Source organism: Homo sapiens, chromosome 16, assembly GCF_000001405.40.
Source record: "Homo sapiens chromosome 16, GRCh38.p14 Primary Assembly".
NCBI classification, from domain to species: domain Eukaryota; kingdom Metazoa; phylum Chordata; class Mammalia; order Primates; family Hominidae; genus Homo; species Homo sapiens.
Window position 1 is genome coordinate 72,504,725 of NC_000016.10, and position 25,042 is coordinate 72,529,766.

General features: G+C 36.5%; 2 long non-coding RNA genes across 5 annotated transcripts in view; one reads left to right on the forward strand and one right to left on the reverse strand.

Moving 5' to 3' along the window:
• LINC01572 (long intergenic non-protein coding RNA 1572) overlaps positions 1-25,042 on the reverse strand; it is a 384,069-nt gene that overhangs the window by 223,823 nt on the left and 135,204 nt on the right. For 2 of the 4 annotated variants that reach the window (NR_126330.2, NR_159372.1), the window contains 2 exons: positions 18,608-18,691; positions 17,829-17,899 (listed from right to left, as the gene is read on the reverse strand). This is a non-coding gene — a long non-coding RNA (long intergenic non-protein coding RNA 1572). Of the gene's footprint in view, positions 1-16,281; positions 17,900-18,607; positions 18,692-25,042 lie in introns of those variants that run through there. The other 2 variants (NR_159370.1, NR_159371.1) reach the window with 2 other exon arrangements.
• LOC124903718 (uncharacterized) overlaps positions 1-25,042 on the forward strand; it is a 109,513-nt gene that overhangs the window by 78,779 nt on the left and 5,692 nt on the right. The gene's annotated exons all lie outside the window — the stretch shown is intronic.

The window sequence follows — 25,042 nt, forward strand, 5'->3', positions numbered from 1 at the left end:
AAATGAAAAGATAGGGAAAAGAAGTCTCTCATCACCACCTCCAAAACTTTAACAATAGTAAAATTAATAATTTATCAAGAAAGATCCCCCTAGTTCAGGGAATATTCCTCAAACATACTCTGAAAGCTGAAATCTTACAGTATCGTATACAATAGCTGAAGCTCTGACAACGTTAAAATCATCCAGTCTGTTCCTGTCTCGGGTTTCTTATTTTTCTATACCAAAGCATCATTAAAATTGCACAAATTTGCCAAAAGGAAGAAGAGAATATAATGCAAACGTCACAACAATTAAAATAGAAAAGCATTAAAAAATGATTTAAAGCACAGGCGTTCAAATCAGACAGACTCGAATTTGAATATTGGTTCTGTTGACTACTGACAAGTTCTTGAACAGTCTAAAATTCAATTTATTCTTCTATTAAAAAACAATAATATCAACTTTGAAGGGTTATTGTGACTGAATAAGATAATATAGGTAAAATGCTCAGCACACTGCTTATCATACAGCAAATAAATATTCACATGCTAGTTACTATGGAAAGAATTTTCCCGGGGGAGGGGGACCTCTCAGAGAATGAAAATATTCATTTTATATGACTTGTTTTATAATAACGAAATAACATTCAATATGGAAGAACAAGTACAAGTTTCACCCTGTTGACAATTTAAAATTAACCTAAAGAATAAATATTGCTGGGTGCAGTGGCTCACATCTGTAATCTCAGCACTTTGGGGCACCAAGTGGGTAGATGGCTTGAGGCCAGGAGTTCAAGACCAGCCTAGGCAACATGGCAAGACCCCATCTCTATAAAAAACAAAACAAAACAGAATAAATATTTTTGGGTTTTCAATAATGAAGATATAATGACTTCATTATTTGATATAAAATTTGACACATGCCCTCTGCTCAAAACAGAAAACACGGGAGATAAAATATAAAAATGGATAACCAAAAACAAAATACATAAATAGGCTCACAAACACGATACGTACTTCTATGGACCAGTATGAAGACAGAATTGCAAAACAGTGTGCAGGGCTGAGGCTACTGTGTGCTAGACTCTGGAGGGAAACAGTGGTAGCCAGGATTCGGCTCCAGTATGGTAAGGGGGACTAAATAGGTTTTGGAGAAATAGGGAATAGCTTGATATTGGAGGCTGGTGTGTGGCTTCCCCTCACTGGAAAGCTCAGTGGCTGAATCTGTATCACTCTGAGCTGAACTGTCATTATAAGGCATATGTCTGGACAGAAGCCTTGGGGAGTCTGTTGTAGGTAATTGAAAGATCATCACAGGACGGAATGAACAAGGACAAAAAGAGCAAAACACTCATAAAACCTCCTACTCAAATAGGACGGAAAACCAAAATTAACAGAAATCAAATTCTAACAAAGGTATCAAACAAAATCAACAAATCAACACTCAGAAAATGAATTCGCTCTGGCCAGGTGTGGTAGTTCACACCTGTAATCTCAGTACCTTGGGAAGCTGAGGCAGGAGGATCACTTGAACTCAGAAGTTCAAGACCAGGCTGGGTAACATGGCTAGATTCCATCTCTACAAAAAGAAATTTAAAAATAGGCTGGGTGAGGTGGCATGAGCCTATAGTCCCAGCTAATCATGAGGCTGAGGTGGGAAGATAGCTTCAACCCAGGAGGCTGAAGTTGCTGTGAGCCGAGAGCCGAGATCTGCACTCCAGCTGGGGCAACAGAGTGAGACCTTGTCTAAAAAAAAAAAAAAAATTAGAGAAAAAGAAAATGAATTCACTCCACATAGCATTAGTTTCATTGAAAAAGCCTAACAACGACTTCCATGACTTTCAGCGAAGTATGTTTGGAATATTTGAAGGCATAAATAAAATAAATATAAAATATTTCAGGCAAAAGGCAATAAGCTATAAAATGAGTCAGATATGAAATAACAACGGTATATGTGGAAAAAAACTAGAAATGAAAATACAGTCACCGAAATTAAAAACTCAAGAGCATGAATAAGCTCTGGACTGCATCTTGTACATTCAAAACCCTAAGGAATAAACCAAAAAAGCTATTAGATCTATTAAACGAGCTTAGCAAAGTTGAAGAACATAAGACTAAAATATAAAAATCAATTGTATCTCTATATGCTACCAATGTATAGACTACAATTTGAAAATAAAACTTAGTGAACAATTGCATTTACAATAGCATCAACAAGAATAAAATACTTAGGAATAAATATAATAACAGGACAGACATGTATACTAAAATCTATAAAACATAATTGAAAGAAATTTAAAAATTTTCAAGGATCTAAATAAATGGAAAGACATCCAGTGGTCTTCCGATGGACTGAAAGACTTAATAGTATTAAATGTCCACACTCCCCAAATTGTGAACTACAGATTCATTAGGAATTCTATCAAAATATCAGATGTCTTTTGGCAGAAACTGACAAGCTAATCCTAAAATTCATATGGAAATACAGAGGACCCAGAATAGCCAGAATAATCTTGAGGAAGATGAATAAAGTGTAGAATCTTTTTTTGTTTGTTTGTTTGAGACAGAATCTTGCTCTGTTGCCAGGCTGGAGTGCAGTCACGCGATCTTGGCTCACTGCAACCTCTGCCTCCCAGGTTCAAGTGATTCTCCTTCCTCAGTCTCCCAAGCAGCTGGGACTACAGGTGCCTGCCACCACGCCCAGCAAATTTTTATATTTTTAGTAGAGACAGGGTTTTACGATGTCGGCCAGGATGGTCTCGATCTCTTGATCTCGTGATCTGCCTGCCTCGGCCTCCCAAAGTGCTGGGATTAGAGGCGTGAGCCACCGCACTCAGCCAATAAAGCGTAGAATTTATATTTCCCAATTTCAAAACAGCCTACAAAGCTATAGTAATCAAGATTGTATGGTATTGACATAGAGATATAGATCAATGAGACAGAATTAAGATATCAGAAATAACCCTTATATTTCTGGTCAATTGATTTTCAATAAGGTTGGCAAGATAATTTGATGGGGGAAAGAAAACCTTTTCAACAAATCATGCTGTGGTAAAGGGATATCCACATGCAAAAGAACGAAGTTGTCCCCTACCTCACACCCTATACAAAATTAAGTCAAAATGGATCAAATACCTAAATGGAGGAGGTAAAATTATAAAACGCATAGAAAAAAAAAAGGAGTAAATATTCTTGACCTTGACTTAGGCAGTGATTTCTTATATATGATACCAATAGCACAAGCAATAAAAAAATTTGATAAAACTGAACTTCGTCAAAAATTTGAAAAAAACTTTTGTTCTTCAAAGGACACTATCAAGAAAGTGAAAAGATAACTGACAGGAAAAAAGTATTTGCAAATCATATATCTGATAAGAAACTTGCATTCAAAATATACGAAAGATACATATAACTCAATAAAATACTAAAACCCCAATTTTAAAAATAGGCAGAGGATTTGAATAGAAATTTTTCCAAAAAAGATATAGAAATGCCAATAAGCATGTAAAAGATGCTCATTAGTGATTAGTCATTAAGGAGATGCAAATCAAAACCACAATGAGATACCACTTCATACCCACTAGGATATGTAATAAAAAAGACAATAAATAACAAGTATTTGGGAGGATCTGGAGAAATTGGAACCCTCAGACATTACTTGTGGGATTGTAAGATGATGCAGCCACTTCTGGCAATTCCTCAAAATGTTAAACATAGAGCCATCGTTATGACTAAGACCAACAATTCCACTCCTAGGAATATACTCAAGAGAAAAGAAAACATATTATCCACACAAAAATTTATACATGAATGTTCACAACAGCATTATTCACAATCATAAAAAAAGTGGAAACAATTCAAATGTCCATCAAATGATGAACAGAGAAATAAAACAGGGTAATATGATTTGACAAAAGAAAAAAAAGAGAAAGGAATGAAATACTGATACATGCTACATCTATGAACCTCAAAAACATTATGGTAAGTGAAAGCAGCCAATTACAAAAGACCACAGATTGTATATTGTATAGTATCATATATGCAAATGTTCAGAATAGGCTAATCTATAGAGACAACAAGTAGATTAGTGATGACACAGGGCTGGAGGGCATGAGCAAATGGAAGGGGGAGTAATGAGAAGTGACTACCAATAGGTACAATGTTTATTTTGGGGATGACGAAATGAAAATGTTCTGAAATTAGATTTTTGTAACATTCGTATAACTATAAATATACTAAAACCCACTGAGTTGTACACGATATACCAGTGATGCATATTTATGACATGTAAATTATATCTCAGAAAGTGTTTTTAAAATGGTTGGGGATGCAGATGTAAATTGCTATAACCACTTAGAAGAACAATTTGCCAACATCTAATATAGTTTATAATACACGTATACCCAGCAAATTCATTCTTAGGTACACAATGGGGCAAAAATCTTACATACAAGCACAAGAAGGCAAAAAAATATTCATTATAACATTGTTTATAATAGTTGAAAAAATGGAAACTACCCAAATGTTAATTAAGAAGTGAATGGATAAGTTGGGCGCGGTGGCTCATGTCTGTAATCCCAACACTTTGGGAGGCAGATGTGGGTAGATCGATTGACTGCAGGAGTCCGAGACCAGCCTGGACAACATGGCAAAATTCCATCTCTACAAAAAATACAAAAATTAGCCATGCGTGGTGGCGTATGGTTGTAGTCCCAGCTACTAGGGAGGCTGAGGTGGGAGAATTATGTGAGCCCAGGAGGCAGAGGTTGTAGTGAGCCGAAATTGTGCCATTGCACTCCAGCCTGGGTAACAGAGCAAGGTGATGCTCTATCTCAAATAAAGAAAATAAAGAATGATAAACTGGTACATATTTTTAAAATGAAATACCATAAAATGTATCAATGAAAATGAATTTCGAAAATAGAATGTTGAGAAAAAAGCAAACTGCAAATGACATACACAATGTGATGCCATTTATAGCTCAAAAACTTGTTATACAACAATATACACCATTTTTGGATACATAAACATATAATAATAAGATTTCTTAGGAATAAAACCACTATCTTCAAGGTACAGCTTACTTCTGAGAAGAAACATAAGCAGATTTGTTAAAACATGATTTATATCTATAATGTACCATTATTATTATTAAAAATTCTGTAGCAAGCATGACAAAATGGCAATTTATTAACCAGTGTAACAGGCCTAAGAGTATTGCTTATATTACTCTTTTTTCAGTTTGTTTAAAATATATTTTAACACACACAAAAACGGCACGATCCAACAAATTTAAACTTTCCCCAAACAGCAAAGCTTCTCAGAATGGTTTTTCTGTTTTGCAATCAATAAACCAAAGGCAAATATTATTGACCTAAGCCAGCATTAGAGTACCACTAAAAGTCAAAGGATTCATTTAGTCAAAATGCTAAATTTTTTTAAGGTGCAATTAGTACGGATGAATTCAAGCATTTTAAAAATCAGATGCTCTCTGACCTTCCCACTAAAGTGTCACCTGACAAGGTCACCATTTCAAGAATATAGTAATTATTCAGGAATGAGGGAGAACATTCAGTGGGGTAGTCTCCCCACTGTTTTCTCAGTAGAAATCACAGAAATGACAACTGTAATTAAATCTTTTTTTTAAATTACCTATGAGTTTTAAGTCAGGATGAAAATTATTTCTAACCTTATGAACTTTCACACTGCACTGCACTAAAAGAAAATCCTTCCAGTTTTCCTTTATATGAGTAAAGCATATGACAGCTAAATAAATAGGAAGTCTTCACTTCTGACCTTTCATTGCTATTCAAAAGAAGCAATTCTGTTTGCCACTATTCCACTTACCAAAGATACAAATGAAACAAGTAGAATAATTAACACAAAATCATCTCTTATTGAAAAGAGCTGAATGCTTTAAGAAAAACATTATTACAAAAGAAGGGAGAAGGTACCATTTAGCCCCTAAGCCATGGAAGTTAACAGACTCTTTCCATCTTTTGGTAATGATGACTTAAATTTTGGAAACATTCAAAAAAAAAAAAAGATTTTTCAGGTTGAAAGAAAGTATTATAGAAGTCCAATCATTCACAATTATTATCATTATATAAAAGTCTACCTTTTCAGAAAATTTAAGACCACATTTTTTATAATTGTAACAAACATAGATTACCCTTTACTCACCTTTCCCCCCAAAAATATAACAAGATAAAGACAGTGAAACGTTTTGGTATATTTAATCACACCATTACCTGCTTCCCTATTAGGGACAACAAACAGGTCTCATCTCCTGGCCCAACTCTGAATGACTATAAGTGACTGCTCAGGACTGTGTCAAGAAATGTTCCTAGGCCATCTGAGCTTACAAGCAGAGTAGTGGATTGATTAGGGAAAAGGAATGATGAAATGTCAGCCAAGTATTTGCCAGCCTGATTTTATATCTGTTAATGATAGAAAAGAACTAATCATACTTACTCACTCATACATATGTTTGAGTATATGTTATAAAGTGAGTTAATACCTAAATGATTTAAATAAAATTCAAATAATTACTAGCACATGTCGTTAGAGAAAAATATAAACTGGGGGAAAAGGAAGAGTTTCTCAATTAGAAGAAATATACAGGACTTGACGATAGGCCTGATGGGGACAATATGAGCCACAGAAGGAAAAACCTCAATGACTCAAAATATTTATTGTTTTGTCTATTCTGGACATTTTTTATAAGTGGAATCATATGATATGTGGCCTTTGTGACTGGCTTCTTTCACTAAGCATAATGCTTTCAAAATTAATCCATATTGTAGTATATAATGTTACTTCATTCTTTTTTATGGTCAAAGAATGTTTATTGTATGAATATACGGCATTTTACTTTTCCATTCTTCAGCTGATGGACCTTTGGGTTATTTTCATTTTTTCTGAATAAAATATTTTATCATATGTGTTAATATATTCTTTAAATATTTGGTGGGCAGATCATTTGAGGTCAGGACTTCGAGACCCTTCTGGCCAACATAGTGAAAACACATCTCTACTAAAAATACAAAAATTAGCTGGCCGTGGTGGCAGGCACCTGTAATCCAAGCTACAGCTGAGGCAGGAGAATCACTTGAACCTGGAGGCAGAGGTTGCAGTAAGCCGAGATCGTGTCACTACACTTCAGCTGGGTGACAGAGCAAGACTCTGTCTCAAAAAAAGAAAAAACAAAACAAAACAAAACAAAACAACTCCTCATCCATTAAAGTTTTACCATGAGATTGCAGCAACTCAGTCACATCTTCAGGCTCTACTTCTAATTCTAGCTCCCTTGCTATTTTCATCAGATTTGTAGTTACTTCCTCTATTAAGTCTTGAACCCGTCAAAGTCTTCCTAGAGGGTTGGAATCAACTTCTTCCAAACTTCTGTTAATACTGATATTTTGACCTCCTTCCATGAATCACAAATGTTCTCAAAGGCATCTAGAATGCTGGTTCCTTTCCAGAAGGTTTTCAATTTACCTTGCCCAGATCCATCAAAGGAATGGCTATCTATTCTGAAATAACAAGACTTGAAAGTCAAAATGACCCTTTGATCCATGGGTTGCAGAATGGTTCCTGTGTTAGCAGGCATGAAAACAATATTAATCTCCTTGTACACCTCCGAGCTCTTAGGTGATGAGGTGCATCATCAATGAGCAGGAATATTTTGAAAGGATTCTTCACTTCTGAGCAGTAGGTCTTGAGAGTGGGCTTAAAATATTTAGTAACCATGCTGTAAACAGTTGTGCTGTCACCCAGGCTTTGTTGTTTCATTTATAGAGCACAGGTAGAGTTGATTTAACATAATTTTTTTTTTATTATTATTTTTAGAGATGGGGTCTCACTATGTTGTCCAGGGTAGCCTCAAATCCCCAGGCTCAAGCAATCCTCTGACCTCAGCCTCTCAAGTAGCTGGCAGTACAGGCATGAGCCACCAAACCCCCCAAATTAGCATAATTCTTAAGGGCCCTAAGATTTTCAGAATGGTAGATGAGCAGTGGCTTCCACTTAAAGACTCTAGCTGCATTAGCCCCTAACAAGAGTCAACTTGTCCCTTAATTCTTTGAAGCCAGACATTGACTTGTCTCTAGCAATTAAAGTCCTAGATGGCATCTTTTCCCAATAGAAGGCTATTTCCTCGACATTGAAAATGTGTTGTTTAATGTAGCCACATTCATTAGTTACCTTAGCTGGATATTCTGGATAACTTGCTGCAGGCCTCTGCATCAGTACTTGCTGCCTCACCTTGCACTTTCATGTTACGGAGATGGCTGCTTCTTTTGTTAAACCTCATCAACCAATCTCTGCTAGCTTTATTTATTTATTTATTTATTTTTATTTTTGAGACGGAGTCTTGCTCTGTGGCCCAGGCTGGAGTGCAATGGCGCAATCTTGGTTCACTGCAACCTCTGCCTCCCAGTTCAAGTGATTCTCCTGCCTCAGCCTCCCAAGTAGCCGGGATTACAGGTGTGTGCCACCATGCCTGGCTAATTTTTTGTATTTTTAGTAGAGACGGGGGTTTCAGCATGTTAGCCAGGATGGTCTCCATCTCCTGACCTCATGATCTGCCAGCCTCGGCCTCCCAAAGTGCTGGGATTACAGGCATGAGCCACCGTACCCGGCCTATTTTTTTTTTTTTTTTCCTACAGCTTCCTTGCCTTTCATGGCCTTCTAGAACTGAAGAGAAGTAAGGCCTTGTATCTGGATCCAGCTTTGGCTTAAGGGAATGTTGTGACTGGTTTGATCTTCTACCACTAACACTTTCTCCACATTGGCAATAAGCCTATTTTGCTTTCTTATCATTTGTATGTTCACTGGCGTAGCACTTTTAATTTCCTTCAAGAATTTTTCCTTTGCACTCACAATTTGGATAATCGTTTGGCACAAGAGGCCTAGATTTTGGCCTATCTTGGCTTTTGACATGCCTTCCTCATTAAGGTTAATCATTTCTAGCTTTGATTTAAAGTGAGAGATGTGCAACTCTTCCTTTCAATCGAACACTAAGAGGCCAATGCAAGGTTATTAATTGACCTAATTTGAATACTGTTGTATCTTAGGGAATAGGGAGGCCTGAGGATAGGGAGAGACAGGGAAATGGCCAGTCAGTGGAGCAGTCAGAAACACACATCACATTCATTAAGTTCACCATCTTTCATAGACAGTTTGTAGTGCCTCAAAACAATTACAATAGTAACATCAAAGATCACTGATCGTAGATGAGCATAACAGATATAATAATGATAAAAAAGTTTGAAATATTGCAAGAATTACCAAAATGTGACACAGAGAGACAAAATGAGGACGTGCTGTTGGAAAAATTGTGCCTATAGGCTTCATCCACACAGGGTTGCCACAAACCATCCATTTGTTTAAAAAAGAAAAAAAAAAAAAGGCAGTATCTGTGAAGCACAGTAAAATGAAGTATGCTTATACAAGATCATGCAAACAGAAAGAGTTTTACATTTTTTTCCCCAAACTGGATGCCTTTTATTCCTTTCTCTTACTTAAATGCTCTGGCTAGAACTTCTAGTACAAGGTTAAAGAGAAGTACTGAGAGTGGACATCATCTTGTACCTGACCTTTCTGAAAAGCATTTAGTATTTCACCAAGAAGTATGTTAGCTGTGTGGTTTTTGAAGATGCTTTTTATCAGGTTGGCAGATTGTCTTTCTACTCCTAGTTGGCTGGATGTTTTTATCATGAAAGAATGTTGAATTTTGCCAAAAACTTATTCTGTATCTATTGAAATGATTATGTATTCTTGTCCTTTGTTGTATTAATTTGATGCGTTACATAGATTGATTTTCAGATGTCAAAGCAAACTTCCATTCCTAGGATAAATCCCACTCGGTTATAGTGAATATATATACTATAATATAGCTGGATTTGATTTGCTAGTATTTGGTTGAAGATTTTTGCATCTATATTTACAAGAGAAATTGGTCAGCATTGTTTTTTCATGTTTGCTTTGTCTAGTTTTGGAATCGGGGAAATACTGACTTGACAAGAGTAAGTTGGGAAGTACTTCCTACTCAGGTATTTTTGTAAGCATTTGTAAAGGATTGGTGTTAATGTTCTTTAAACAAATGGTACAATTTACCAATGAAGGTATTTGGGCCTAGGCTTGTGGGAATTTTAAAAATTACTAATTAAATTTCTTTACTTTTTATACAGGTCTATTCAAATTTTTATTTTTTCTTGAGTCAGCTTTGGTAGTTTTTGTCTTCCTAGGAATTTTCCATCTCAAGTTGTATAATTTGTTGGTGTACAGTGGTTTATAGTGTTACCTTACAATCCTTTTCATTTCATTTCTTTAATTTTATGTTGTGGAATACATGTGCAGGACGTGTAGGTTTGTTACATAGATAAACGTGTGCCGTGGTGGTTTGCCACACCTATCAACTCATCATCTATGTATTAAGTCCCGCATGCATTAGCTATTTATCCTTGATGCTCTCCCTCCCTCCAGCTCCACCCCCTACAGGGCCCAGTGTGTTTTGTTCCCCTCCTTGTGTCCATGTGTTCTCATCATTCAGCTCCCACTTATAAGTGAGAACATGCGGTTTAAGTGTTGTTTCCTCTTTCATTTCTGATTTTAATAATTTGAATCTTCTTTTTTATTGGTCTGCTAAAGTTTTGTCCATTTTGTTGATCTTTTCGAAGAACCAAATTTTGGTTTCATTGATTTTCTCTATTGTTTTTCTATCTTGTATTATATTTATTTTTGTTCAAATTTTAATTATTTTCTTCTGCCTCACTGTGTTTAGTTTGTTCTTTTTATTGCTTCTTAAGATTGTTATTGACTTCAACTTTTTTTAAATATAGGCATTATACCAATAATTTCATGTAAGTACTGCTTTAACTGTATCTCATACCTTTTGCTGTGTTTTATTTTTATTTTCATTAATCTCTAAGTATTTTCTCACTTCATTTGTTAAATTTTTCATTCATTGGTCATGTGTGTATTGTTAATTATTCATATATTTCTGGATTTCCCAAATTTCTTTCCCTTGTTTCTAATTTAATTCCAATGTGGTAGGAAAACATGCTTTGCATGATTTCAATCATTTAAATTTATTGAGGCTTATTTTATGGACTATAGATGGTCTATTATGGAGACTATTCTATGTATGCTTGAGAAGAATATATACTTTTGTTGTTGCTATGAGGAGTGTTTTATAGATCCTGTTAGTTCATGTTAGTTGGTGGTATTGTATGACACTTCCTTGTTGATCTTCTTCCTAGTTGTGCTATTATTGGAAATGGGGTACGAAGTCTCCAACTATTATTATTTTACTGTCTACTTCTCCCTTCGATTCTGTTGGTTGTTGCTTTTTATGTTCTTGGGTCTGGTGTTAGTACATATTTGTTTGATATTTTTACATCTTCTAGATGGATTGACACTTTAAATTGTCCTGTTATGACTCTAATAACAATTTTTGCCTTAAAGTCTCATATTAGTACACCAACTTCAGCTCTATTTTGATTACTGTTTCTGTGGTATAAGTTTTCCTATCTATTAGTTTGAACCTTTTTGTGTCTTTGAATCCAAAGTATGTCTCTTGTGAGAGCATATGGTGGCATCTTGCTCTTTTATTCATTCTGGAAATCCTTGTTTGTTGATTAGAATGTTTAATCTGTTTCTTTCCATTTAAAATAATGCAATGAAGGCTTTTACTATCCAAAACCTTATTATTCAGTATACTTTCAGGAATAGATTTGATGCAGAAAATTAGGAAGTGCAAGGTCCACAGATGTTGGCAGGTATCAGGGAAAGCTCTTTAGTAGAGGTGGTGTGCAACTTATCTTGGAATATAAGCAAAAGTTAGTCAACTAAATAAGACATGGATTAGAACAGTGGAGCTCCTGAGAATCAGGTATTTCTGGTAGAGCAAACAATACGAAGAAAGAAAAGAGCATGGTCTATTTGGATCATTAGTTGTTGTTTCAGTATTGATGCAGTAGAAAACGGTGGCACTGGGCGCGGTGGCTCACGTCTATAATCCCAGCACATTTGGAGGCTGAGGCAGGTGGATCACGAGGTCAGGAGTTCAAGACCAGCCTGGCCAACATGGTGAAACCCTATCCCTGCTAAAAATATAAACATTAGCTGGGCGTGGTGGCACGAGTCTATAATCCCAGCTACTCGGGAGGTTGAGGCAGGAGAATTGCTTGAACCCGGGAGGCAGAGGTTGCAGTGAGCCAAGATCGCACCACTGCACTCCAGCCTGGGCGACAGGGCGAGACTATGTCTAAACAAACAAGCAAACAAACAAAAAAACAAAAAAAAAAAAAGAAAAGAAAATGGTGGTATTGAGGTGTGCTTTAAGTCACCACATATGTATTGTGGCTAAAACTGTTAGAATGAATGATATTATCCAGGGATAATGTCAGGAGTAACAAAACATGAAGGTCTACATCTAAACTCTTGTTTCAGATTTTAAGGAATAATTTCAAGGTTTCCCTAGGGTCTGAAAAGCAATGGAAAATGAAAACCTGAACATTCCATGAACACATCTTTTTGTATTGAGAATTAATGGAATTAAGTTTATGGTTTTTACATGCCCAAGTGAAATAGTCATTAGCAATCATTGAAAAGTTTAGAGCAATGACACGCCCACACCACTCTGCATTGCCTTCTGAGAACAGCTGCACATGCTGCCACAAGTTTGTGCCATACTGTAATACTTTTTACAGTACTGTAACTATTTCATAATATATTTTCTTTATTTTTTGAGACAGAGTCTCACTCTCACCCAGGCTGGAGTGCAGTGGTACCACCTTGGCTCACTGCAACCTCCACCTCCCAAGTTCAAACGATCCTCCCACCTCAGCCTCCCAAGTAGCTGGGACTACAAGTGCACACCACCACACCCAGCTAATTTTTGTATTTTTAGTACAGTGGTGGTTTCACCATGTTGGCCAGGTGGGTCTCGAACTCCTGACTACAAATGATCCACCCACCTTGGCCTCCCAAAGTGTTGGGATTACAGGCGTGGCCCACTGTGTCTGGCAGATTTCATAATATATTTTAATTGTGAACCTTAAAGATACTATAAAAAGAGTAACTCAATCCTCACCATGTAGTGTGGAATATAAGAAAACCTTAGCTTACTTATGTCGTTTAAAAAAATTATCAGAATATTTATAAAATCCCATTACATAGTTATTACACAGTTCTCACATGATAGCTATCACAGTTCCTTCTTTTCCTTTTTGTAGTTCTGCCTACATGTCTGTGATGGTTAGTACTGAGTGTCAACTTGATTGGATTGAGGGATACAAAGTATTAATCCAGGGTGTGTCTGTGTAGGTATTGCCAAAAGAGATTAACATTTGAGTCCCTGGGCTGGGGAAGGCAGATCCACCCTTAATCTGGTGGGCACAATCTAATCAACTCCCAGGGAATATAAAGCAGCCAGACAAATGTGAAAAGACGAGATGGGCCTAGCCTCCCAGCCTACATCTTTCTTCCATGCTGGATGCTTGCTGCCCTCAAACATCGGACTCCAGGTTCTTCAGTTTGGGGCCTTGGACTGGCTCTCCATGCTCCTCAACTTGCAGAGAGCCTATTGTGGGGCCTTGTGATCATGTAAGTTAAGGAAGTCTGATAATAATATATATATCTATATCTGTCCTATTAGTTCTATCCCTTTAAAAGAACCCTGACTAATACAATGTCTGTAGAAGGCAACCTTTCAACTATCCATCACAACTTTTACTTATGTTTTCTATATTCCTACAGTATTTCTAAAATAAACACACACTGCATCTCTCTCCATCCACGTGAAGAACATACATTCCTTCAAGGTAATCTATATAAAGAGAAGTAGAAGAAACATCTAATTAATGTTGGCAAACATTTTATAAATTAGGATAAGTCATTTTTGCTGGTTTGAATAGTTTTGGGCAAAGGTTATGAAATATAGAGAGTTATGCTGAAGGAAATGGTCCTTCTCCAGTCCAATTTTTTGCTATAGTATAAGTGACTAACCACCACCATTGCTGCACTGGCTTGTCCCTTTTTTCCCCATCCAAAACATTCAGTATGGTGCTTATTTGGCAGGGTAGGAGTGAATACTACTGATAATGATAGCATAATAGCTCCATCAGTGCCATGTGTATATTATATCTTGAATATATACAGTTCATAATTATTGGGGAATAAGAAACTATAACAGATGCAGCTGCAAAAGCAGCCAACTTGCCATCTTCCTGAAGTTGATAAGAACCTAAATGAACACTTTCATATTGTATGACATGTATGAACCAACTGAAAATCCAATTTATAATAACATGCTCCTGTCTATTCCTTCCTGTGCTAAACTACATGAGTTCCACTATTATGTTAAATCCAATATTCTGCTGTTCTCCCTGCTACTCACTTTCATCCTATAATTCTAGAGTGTCAAAGTTTAAAACACTGTAATAATATACCTGCAGAAATTTAGTAATAAGGCAGATATAGGTTTAATCTGAAATAAATGGTTTTTATAAATTATTTCCGTATATCTAACAAGTCTGATCTAGGTATTGTTGGCTCAAGCTTCTATCAACTCAGAACATCCTGGAGCTGAAGAGAAATTCCAGGTTGCTTTGTGTCCGCATGTCTATGAATTAATAATATGGAATTAGGGAATACTAGAAACAGTCCACTACTAATGAATCTAGAAATGTATCTCATAGTTGAGAGAGCTGTAATTCAACTCAACAAATACTTCCTGAATATAATGTCCAATACTTGCTAAGTATAAACAGTTATTCATAAAGCCATCGCTACATTTAGATGTAAAATATGAGTCACTAGGTTTAAATCTCATTAAATCTTCACAACAACCCAATGAGGGTGTCCATCATCATTTGGCAGGTAAATAAAATGAAATTACAAAACTATTAACTGGGGGTGGTGAACTTGAACCCTAAACTATTCAACTCTAAAGCCTGCGTCCTCAGACAGTATTACATTTTTCTTCTTAATGGTATATTCACTTGGTTTTGCAATCTATTTGAGATTTCAGGTCTGTTTTTTTTAACTATAATGTTTTAATAAGACAATACATTTACATGCTTTAAAAGTCAACACTGAGGCAAGAAGAATTGAAAATTGGTAACAATAAGTATATCTGGTATACAGATGACGATTTACATCATTAAAAGAAACCAGGGCTCCCTGGAGAAACGGCTTAATAGAAGAACTGCGGCAAGGAATATAGAACATGAGTCTGGAACATTTTGTTATACCAGAAAGCAAGGAAGAGATTTAAAAAAAAAAATGTTAGGGGCCAAGTTTGGAGGCTCACACTTGTAATCCCAGCACTTTGGGAGGCCAAGACAGGAGGATCGCTTGAGCTCAGGAGCTCAAGACCAGCCTGGGCAACATGGTGAGACCTTGTCTCTACTAACAACAACAACAACATCAAAAAATCAAAAAAGTTAGCCAGCTGTGGTGGTAAACACCTGTAGTCCCAGCTACTTAGGAGGCTGAAGTGGGAAAATCACCTGAACTCAGGTCTAAGCAGCAGTGAGCTGTGATGGTGCCACCCGCAGTCCAACCTGGGCAGCAGAGTAAGACCCTGTCAAAAAAAAAAAAAAAAAAAAAAAGACAGGGACATTTGAGAAACACTGGAGCCAGCTTGAAGAGATTTCTACTGGCTGAATTTGGGACAATATAAGCACTGAAAAAATGTGATATCCGTGAGTCCATAATGATCCTTTTTTTTTTCTTAATGGGAGAGGAGGAGAAGCTTTTCTTCATAGCAACACACCAGCCAGTTAATGTGAAAGGACTATTTGGTAAGAAAATCATTTGGCAAATATTATAGTAAAAGCAGATTTAGTCAAGAATCATCAATATATATTACAATTCATAGGTGAAAACCTTACGAAGAACAAGATATCTCCATCATCTCAAATTATTTTACCAACAAAATTCTTGCTAATTATAAGACAGAAAAGAGTAACTTCACAATGGGAAACCTACAAGATGGCACATAAACCAAATGATCCAAGTTAACACCAACATTAAACATAAACATGTGAATAAAAAGATATCACATCCCTTCTAATATGATACACTGAGAAAGATACCAAGTCACTTCTGTGGTGTCCTCACCAAAAATTCTAACCATGCAGAAACATCAGACAAACCCAAATTGAGTAATATTTTTCAAAATATCTAGCCTGCACTACTTAAAAAAGGTTAAAGTCATGAAAGACAAACAAGGATGATTTCAGATTAAAGGAAACTAAGAGATCTGACAATAAATGCAACGTGAGATACTAGATTGCACTCTGATACAGAAAAAAAATTTATTTATTTCCTGTAAGGGCAAAGAAATACAAGGGAAAAAAAGGTGTAATATGAATCAGATTTGTAGATTTCATAATAGTATTGTATCATGTTAATTTCCCCTGTGGTTATATATCAGAATATTCTTAGAAAATACAAATGAACGTATTTTGGGGGAAAGAGGCGTTATGTCTGCAACTTACCCTTAAATGGTTCAGAAAAACATAACACATATATAATTAAATATATAATATCATACATAGAGACAGACTGTGAGGACGATACAAAGCAAATATGGTAAATTTGGGTATCTGGGGGAAGAGTATACAGAAATTCTTTGTAATATTCTTGAGGCTTTTCTCTGAGATTAAGATTATTTCCAAGAGAAAATTTATTGCTAATTTGTACTAAGAAGACCCACAATAAACTTAGACACTATAAATAAAGAAGGAAGCAGGGCAGCTGAAATATAAGGTAATGGTCACAAAAATGTAGTCTAATTAGATATTATTTAAATTTCCATTAGACATAAGAAATTACAATAATTTTTAGTGTGATATGATTTCTTAAAAAACAGCCTTTATCTGTCAGCGATACACAGTGAAATATTTACGGATATATACAGATGAAATAATATGATGTCTGACACTGACTTTAAAATAATTTAGTGAAGGGAAATGGGTGTGGAATTATGGATGAAGTAATATAGCTCATGCATTGATAATTGTTGAGGCTAGGTGATGGGTATCAAGGTTAGTTAACCTATTCTTTCTTCTTTTGTGTAAAGTACACAACAAAAAGTTTTTAAACAGTCAATGTTATACAAAAAATGCAACAGATGAATCTTTGTCCCACTCCTGCCACCATATTTCCTGTCAACTCCTTATAGGTAACCATTTTATTAGTTGCTTTTTTTTTATTTTTCCAGTTTCTTTACAAAAATACAAGAAAATACAAATATATACTCTTACTTTTCCACTCTTCCTACAAAAGGTAACAAACAATAAACACTGCTCTATATATTGTTTCCCTTCACCCCACCAGCTTCATACATTCTGTATATCTCTCCATACCAGTATATACAGCTCTATTTTGTATATGTGTGTGTGTGTTTGCGTGTGTTCCATGGTTTATTCAACCAGTCCCTTATTACTAGATCCTTGATTTATTTCCAATCCTGTATTCATGCAACAATGCTATAATAACAATATAACAATATAACAATGCTATAATAAATGACTGTGTATATTTCTGTCATTTTGTACCAGTGCAGGTTTACCTACAGCAGTGGTCCCTGACCTTTTTGGTACCAGGGACCAGTTTTGTGGAAGACAATTTTTCCACACATGGGGGCGGTGGTTTCAGGATGAAACTGTTCCACCTCAGATCATCAGGCATTAGATTCTCATAAGTAGTGCATAACCTAGATCCCTTGTGTTTGGAGTTCACAATAGGGTTTCTGCTCCTATGAAAATCTCATGTCACTACTGATCTGACAGGAGGTGGAGCTTAGGCAGTAGTGCTCGCTAGGCTGCTACTCACCTCCTGCTACCGGTTCCTAACAGGTCACAGACTGGTATTGATCCATGGCCCAGGGGTAGGAGACCCTTGACCTACAGGATAGATAACCACAGGGGAAGTCCTAGGTCAAAGATATGTTTTTTACCATATTCTTGTTCCTCCCACCCACCACTGATATATGAGAATGTTGTTTCCCCACAGGCTTGCCAACAGAATGTATTATCTAACTTTTGGGTTTCTGTCCATCTGACAGGTGAGAAATTACACTTTGGTATTTTTTCACTTGCACTATTTTTCTTGTTATGGGCAATATAACTGCTATTTCCGCCACCTCTCATGTCAGAGGATAAGGAATCTCTATTGGTTATAAGCCTCTAACTATGCCTTTGAATCAGTTTTTTTCTTAATGCATCTAAGAAATTTACTTCTTCAAGTATTCCCTATTCCTTCAGTATCTTTCATATCTCTAATATTCTCCCTACTTTTTCCTTTCCTTCTAAGGTCAAATATTTTTTTTTCTTGCTAGATATTACACTCAAACAATATGGTATAAAGAACAGAACATGAGAAGTCTCCTTCTTATGTTGAACCTGAATACCATCCATCCCAAGAGTGAAACACCATTCTCAGTTTGTGTATTCCCTCTCTCACACTGTACATACAGATGCACACATGTATTACATTTAATAGATACATTCAAATGACAACATACTGCTTAGGTGAGGTAATGCTAGCTGCTGTAATAACTAAACCCTAAAATCTCAGTGGTTTAACACAATGAAAGCTTAGTTTGGACTCACGTGGTAGTCCAATGTTCAGTTGGCATATTTCCACGTGTACTTCAGGCGCCCAACTTCTGCCATAGCCTAAGGCTTCAGTCTTCACTTTAGCAGCAAATGGAGGAAAAAGAGAGAGAGATTAAGACATAATTGCTTCTTAATCACCCTGCCCAGAAGTCCTATCAGATCACTTTGCACATATTCCACAAGAAGTAACAGTGATTTTAAATGCAGAAGCTGGGAAGTTTAGTCCCTGAGTTGGTACTTATTCAACTTTACTCTATGGAAGGGTAACATAAATCCCTGGAGAATAGATAGCTACCTCTTAAACATAGATTCTTCATGCTGTTTTATTCCATAGTGTGTGTATTTCCTTAATTTATCTTAGAGATGTTTCCAATAGTTCATATTGGGCTGACCCACTGTAAAACCTTTTTTTTGTTAAAAGAAAAGGTGAAATCTGATGTCAATTTATCACTTCTATTCAACACAGTATTGAAAGTCTTAGCCAAACGAATTAGGCAAGAGAAAGAAAGAAAGGACATGTAAATTGAAAAGAAGTCAAATTATCCTTCTTAGCAGATGATGTGATCTCACATTTAGAAAAACTTAAAGATTCCACCAAAAATTATTAGAACTGATAAATTCAGTAAAGTTGCAGAGTACAAAACCAACATGTACAAATCAGTAGCATTTCTATACACTAACAATAATCAATCAAAAAAAGAAAGCAATCCCATTTACAATGGCTATGAAAAATAAAATAAAATAATACCTAGGAATAAATTTAACCAAAACAGTGAGACAGCTCTACAAGGAAAACTATAAAACACCCATGAAAGATACTGAAGAGGACACAAAAAATGGAAAAATATCCCATGCTCATGGATTGGAAGAATTAATATTGTTACAATTTCTATGCTGACCAAAGTGATATGCATATTCAATGCAATCTCTATCGAAATACAAAATACCAATGACATTCTTCACAGAAATAGAAAAAATAATCCTAAAATTTGTATGGAACCACAAAATACCTTGAAGAACTAAAGCAATCCTGAGCAAAAGGACAAAGCTAGAGGCATCACATATACTACAGAGCTATAGTATCCAAAACAGCATGGCACTGGCACAAGAGCAGACACACAGAGCAATGGTACAGAATAGAGAAACTAGAAATAAATTCACACAGTTACAACCAACTTATTTCACAATGTGTGAGGTTGCTTTTCCTCCACAGAACTAATCAAAATTTTTACCTTTGCCTATCTGATGGATTTAAAAAATGGTCCATCAGTGTAGTCTTAATTCACTTGTCTCTTCTAAAAATATGACAATCTCATCAAGATTTTAGGAGTTACTAGATTTATTACCCTTTTCATCACTTGTCTGTTTTTTATTTTATGAAATAGTTGGTATTTCTCATTGATTTCTAGAGGCTCCTAATACACTAAGGTATCTTATTTGCAATACAGAATTTTAAATGTTTCCCACAGTTTATAGTTAGTCTTTTTGCTCTGCTTATGATATTTGACTGTGAAATTTTTATATTTTTACTTAATCAAATTAATTAATCTTTTCCATTGTGACTTTTGAGGTTTGTGTCCAACTTAGGAGTTCTCACCTCTGGTATAAAGAAATAATTCTCCCAGGGCTTAATCTAATACTTTTTTGTTTTTATTTTTCAAGATAAAACCTTTGTTTCATCTGAAATTTTTATTGTAAGGTGTGAGGTAAGAATCCAGCATTCTGTGTGTGTACAGATGCCCAGCCCATTGTCACACTATCTCTTATTGTTGTATAATACACCTTTTCTATGCCAACTGGAAACATCACCTTTAACATGTACTAAATTTCCATAAGTATTTGAGTCTACTTCTGTACTTTCTATTCAACCAATTGATCCGCCTATTAATGTATTCTTACACACAATTTAAATTAACATAGCTTTGTAATATGTTTTAGTATCTTAGTGGGAGAGTCTTTCCTGATTATGTTACTTTTTTTTTATTATGAAGTTCTAGGGTACATGTGCACAACATGCAGGTTTGTTAAATATTTATACATGTGCCATGTTGGTGTGCTGCACCCATTAACTCGTCATTTACATTAGGTATATCTCCTAATGCTATCCCTCGCCCCCGCCCCACCCCACCCCACGATAGGCCCCGGTAGGTGATGTTCCCCTTCCTGTGTCCAAGGGCTCCCACTGGTCAACTCCCACCTATGAGTGAGAACATGAGGTGTTTGCTTTTTGTCCTTGTGATAGATTGCTGAGAATGATGGTTTCCAGCTTCATCCATGTCCCTACAAAGGACATGAACTCATCATTTTTATGGCTGCATAGTATTCCATAGTGTATATGTGCCACATTTTCTTAATCCAGTCTATCATTGTTGGACATTTGGGTTGGTTCCAAGTCTTTGCTATTGTGAATAGTGCCACAATAAACATATGTGTGCATGTGTCTTTATAGCAGCATGATTTATAATCCTTTGGGTATATACCCAGTAATGGGATGGCTGGGTCAAATGGTATTTCTAGTTCTAGATCCCTGAGGAATCGCCACACTGACTTCCACAATGGTTGAACTAGTTTACAGTCCCACCAACAGTGTAAAAGTGTTCCTATTTCTCCACATCCTCTCCAGCACCTGTTGTTTCCTGACTTTTTAATGATCACCAATCTAACTGGTGTGAGATGGTATCTCTTTGTGGTTTTGATTTGCATTTCTCTGATGGCCAGTGATGATGAGCATTTTTTCATGTGTCTGTTGGCTGCATAAATGTCTTCTTTGGAGAAGTGTCTGTTCATATCCTTCACCCACTTGTTGATGGGGTTGTTTTTTTCTTGTAAATTTGTTTGACTTCATTGTAGATTCTGGATATTAGCCCTTTGTCAGATGAATAGATTGCAAAAATTTTTTCCCATTCTGTAGGTTGCCTGTTCACTCTGATGGTAGTCTCTTTTGCTGTGCAGAAGCTCTTTAGTTTAATTAGATCCCATTTGTCAATTTTGGCTTTTGTTGCCATTGCTTTGGGTGTTTTAGATATGAAGTCCTTGCCCATGCCTATGTCCTGAATGGTATTGCCTAGGTTTTCTTCTAGGGTTTTTATGGTTTTAGGGCTAACATTTAAGTCTTTAATCCATCTTGAATTAATTTTTGTATACGGTGTAAGGAAGGGATCCAGTTCAGCTTTCTACATATGGCTAGCCAGTTTTCCCAGCACCATTTATTAAATAGGGAATCCTTTCCCCATTGCTTGTTTTTATCCGGTTTGTCAAAGATCAGATAGTTATAGATATGTGGTATTATTTCTGAGGGCTCTGTTCTGTTCCATTGGTCTATATCTCTGTTTTGGTACCAGTATCATGCTGTTTTGGTTATCGTAGGCTTGTAGTAAAGTTTGAAGTCAGGTAGCGTGATGCCTCCAGCTTTGTTCTTTTGGCTTAGGGTTCACTTGGCAATGCGGGCCCTTTTCTGGTTCCATATGAACTTTAAAGTAGTTTTTTCCAATTCTGTGAAGAAAGTCATTGGTAGCTTGATGGGGATGGCATGAATCTATAAATTACCTTGGGCAGTATGGCCATTTTCATGATATTGATTCTTCCTATCCATGAGCATGGAATGTTCTTCCATTTTTTGTGTCCTCTTTTATTTCATTGAGCAGTGGTTTGTAGTTCTCCTTGAAGAGGTCCTTCACATCCCTTGTAAGTTGGATTCCTAGGTATTTTATTCTCTTTGAAGCAATTGTGAATGGGAGTTCACTCATGATTTGGCTATCTGTCTGTTATTGGTGTATAAGAATGCTTGTGATTTTTGCACATTGATTTTGTATCCTGAGACTTTGCTAAGTTGCTTATCAGCTTAAGGAGATTTTGGGCTGAGACGATGGGGTTTTCGAGATATACAATCATGTCATCTGCAAACAGGGACAATTCGACTTCCTCTTTTCCTAATTGAATACCCTTTATTTCTTTCTCCTGCCTGATAGCCCTGGCCAGAACTTCCAACACTATGTTGAATAGGAGTGGTGAGGAGGGCATCCCTGTCTTGTGCCAGTTTTCAAGGGGAATGCTTCCAGTTTTTGCCCATTCAGTATGATACTGGCTATGGGTTTGTCATAAATAGCTCTTATTATTTTGAGATACGTCCCATCAATACCTAATTTATTGAGAGTTTTTAGCATGAAGGGTTGTTGAATTTTGTCAAAGGCCTTTTCTGCATCTATTGAGATAATCATGTGGTTTTTGTCATTGGTTCTGTTTATATGCTGGATTACGTTTATTGATTTGCATATGTTGAACCAGCCTTGCATCCCAGGGATAAAGCCCACTTGATCGTGGTGGATAAGCTTTTTGATGTGCTGCTGGATTCAGTTTGCCAGTATTTTATTGAGGATTTTTGCAGCAATATTCATCACGGATATTGGTCTAAAATTCTCTTTTTTTTGTTGTGTCTCTGCCAGGCTTTGGTATCAGGATGATGCTGGCCTCATAAAATGAGTTAGGGAGGATTCCCTCTTCATCTACTGATTGGAATAGTTTCAGAAGGAATGGTACCAGTTCCTCCTTGTACCTCTGGTAGAATTCGGCTGTGAATCCATCTGGTCCTGGACTTTTTTCTGGTTGGTAAGCTATTAATTATTGCCTCAATTTCAGAGCCTATTATTGGTCTATTCAGAGATTCAACTTCTTCCTGGTTTAGTCTTGGGAGGGTGTATGTGTTGAGGAATTTACCCATTTCTTCTAGATTTTCTAGTTTATTTGCGTAGAGGTGTTTATAGTATTCTCTGATGGTAGTTTGTATCTCTGTGGCATCGGGGGTGATATCCCCTGTCATTTTTTATTGTGTCTATTTGATTCTTCTCTCTTTTCTTCTTTATTAATCTTGCTAGTGGTCTATCAATTTTGTTGGTCTTTTCAAAAAACCAGCTCCTGGATTCATTGATTTTTTGAAGGGTTTTTTGTGTCTCTAATTCCTTCAGTTCTGCTCTGATCTTAGTTATTTCTTGCCTTCTGCTAGCTTTTGAATGTGTTTGCTCTTGCTTCTCTAGTTCTTTTCATTGTGATGTTAGGGTGTCAATTTTAGATCTTTCCTGCTTTCTCTTGTGGGCATTTAGTGCTGTAAATTTCCCTCTACACACTGCTTTAAATGTGTCCCAGAGATTCTGGTATGTTGTGTCTTTGTTCTCGTTGGTTTCAAAGAAATGTTTATTTCTGCCTTCATTTCGTTATGTACCCTGTAGTCATTCAGGAGCAGGTTGTTCAGTTTTCATGTAGTTGTGCGGTTTTGAGTGAGTTTCTTAATCCTGAGTTCTAGTTTGATTGCACTGTGGTCTGAGAGACAGTTTGTTATAATTTCTGTTCTTTTACATTTGCTGAGGAGTGCTTTACTTCCAACTATGTGGTCAATTTCAGAATAAGTGAGGTGTTTTGCTGAGAAGAATGTATACTCTGTTGATTTGGGGTGGAGAGTTCTGTAGATGTCTATTAGGTCTGCTTGGTGCAGAGCTGAGTTCAATTCCTGGATATCCTTGTTAACTTTCTGTCTCGTTGATCTGTCCAATGTTGACAGTGGGGTGTTAAAGTCTCCCATTATTATTGTGTGGGAGTCTAAGTCTCTTTGTAGGTCTCTAAGGACTTGCTTTATGAATCTGGGTGTTCCTGTATTGGGTGCATATATATCGAGGATAGTTAGCTCTTGTTGAATTGATCCCTTTACTATTATGTAATGGCCTTGTCTCTTTTGATCTTTGTTGGTTTAAAGTCTGTTTTATCAGAGACTAGGATTGCAACCCCTGCCTTTTTTTGTTTTCCATTTGCTTGGTAGATCTTCCTCCATCCCTTTATTTTGAGCCTATGTGTGTCTCTGCATGTGAGATGGGTTTCCTGAGACGGAGTTTCGCTCTTGTTGCCCAGGCTGGAGTACAATGGCGCGACCTTGGCTCACCACAACCTCTGCCTCCCGGGTTCAAGCAATTCTCCTGCCTCAGCCTCCCGTGTAGCTGGGATTACAGGCATGCGCCACCACGCCTGGCTACTTTTGTATTTTTAGCAGAGAAGGGGTTTCTCCATGTTGGTCAGGCTGGTCTTGAACTCCTGACCTCAGGTGATCCGCCCACCTTGGCCTCCCAAAGTGCTGCAATTACAGGCGTGAGCCACCGCACCCAGCCCATTATGTTACTTTTTAAGAATTTTCCTGGTTATTATTTTTTTTTCACGTAAACAACTGAGTTCCTTGACTAATTCCAAACTTCACCCAGAAAAACAGCTATACACGTGTCCTACTATCCTCTTTAGCCTATGCTTTCTGTTCATAAGAGTTCTACTTTCTTCCTTTTCACACTAAAACTTTGATCTCTTAAAAGCTTGATTCCATCTCATTAAACAAAAAAGTAATCAAGAATTTCTTCCTTTTTTTTTTTTCAAGACAGAGTCTCACTCTGTCACTCA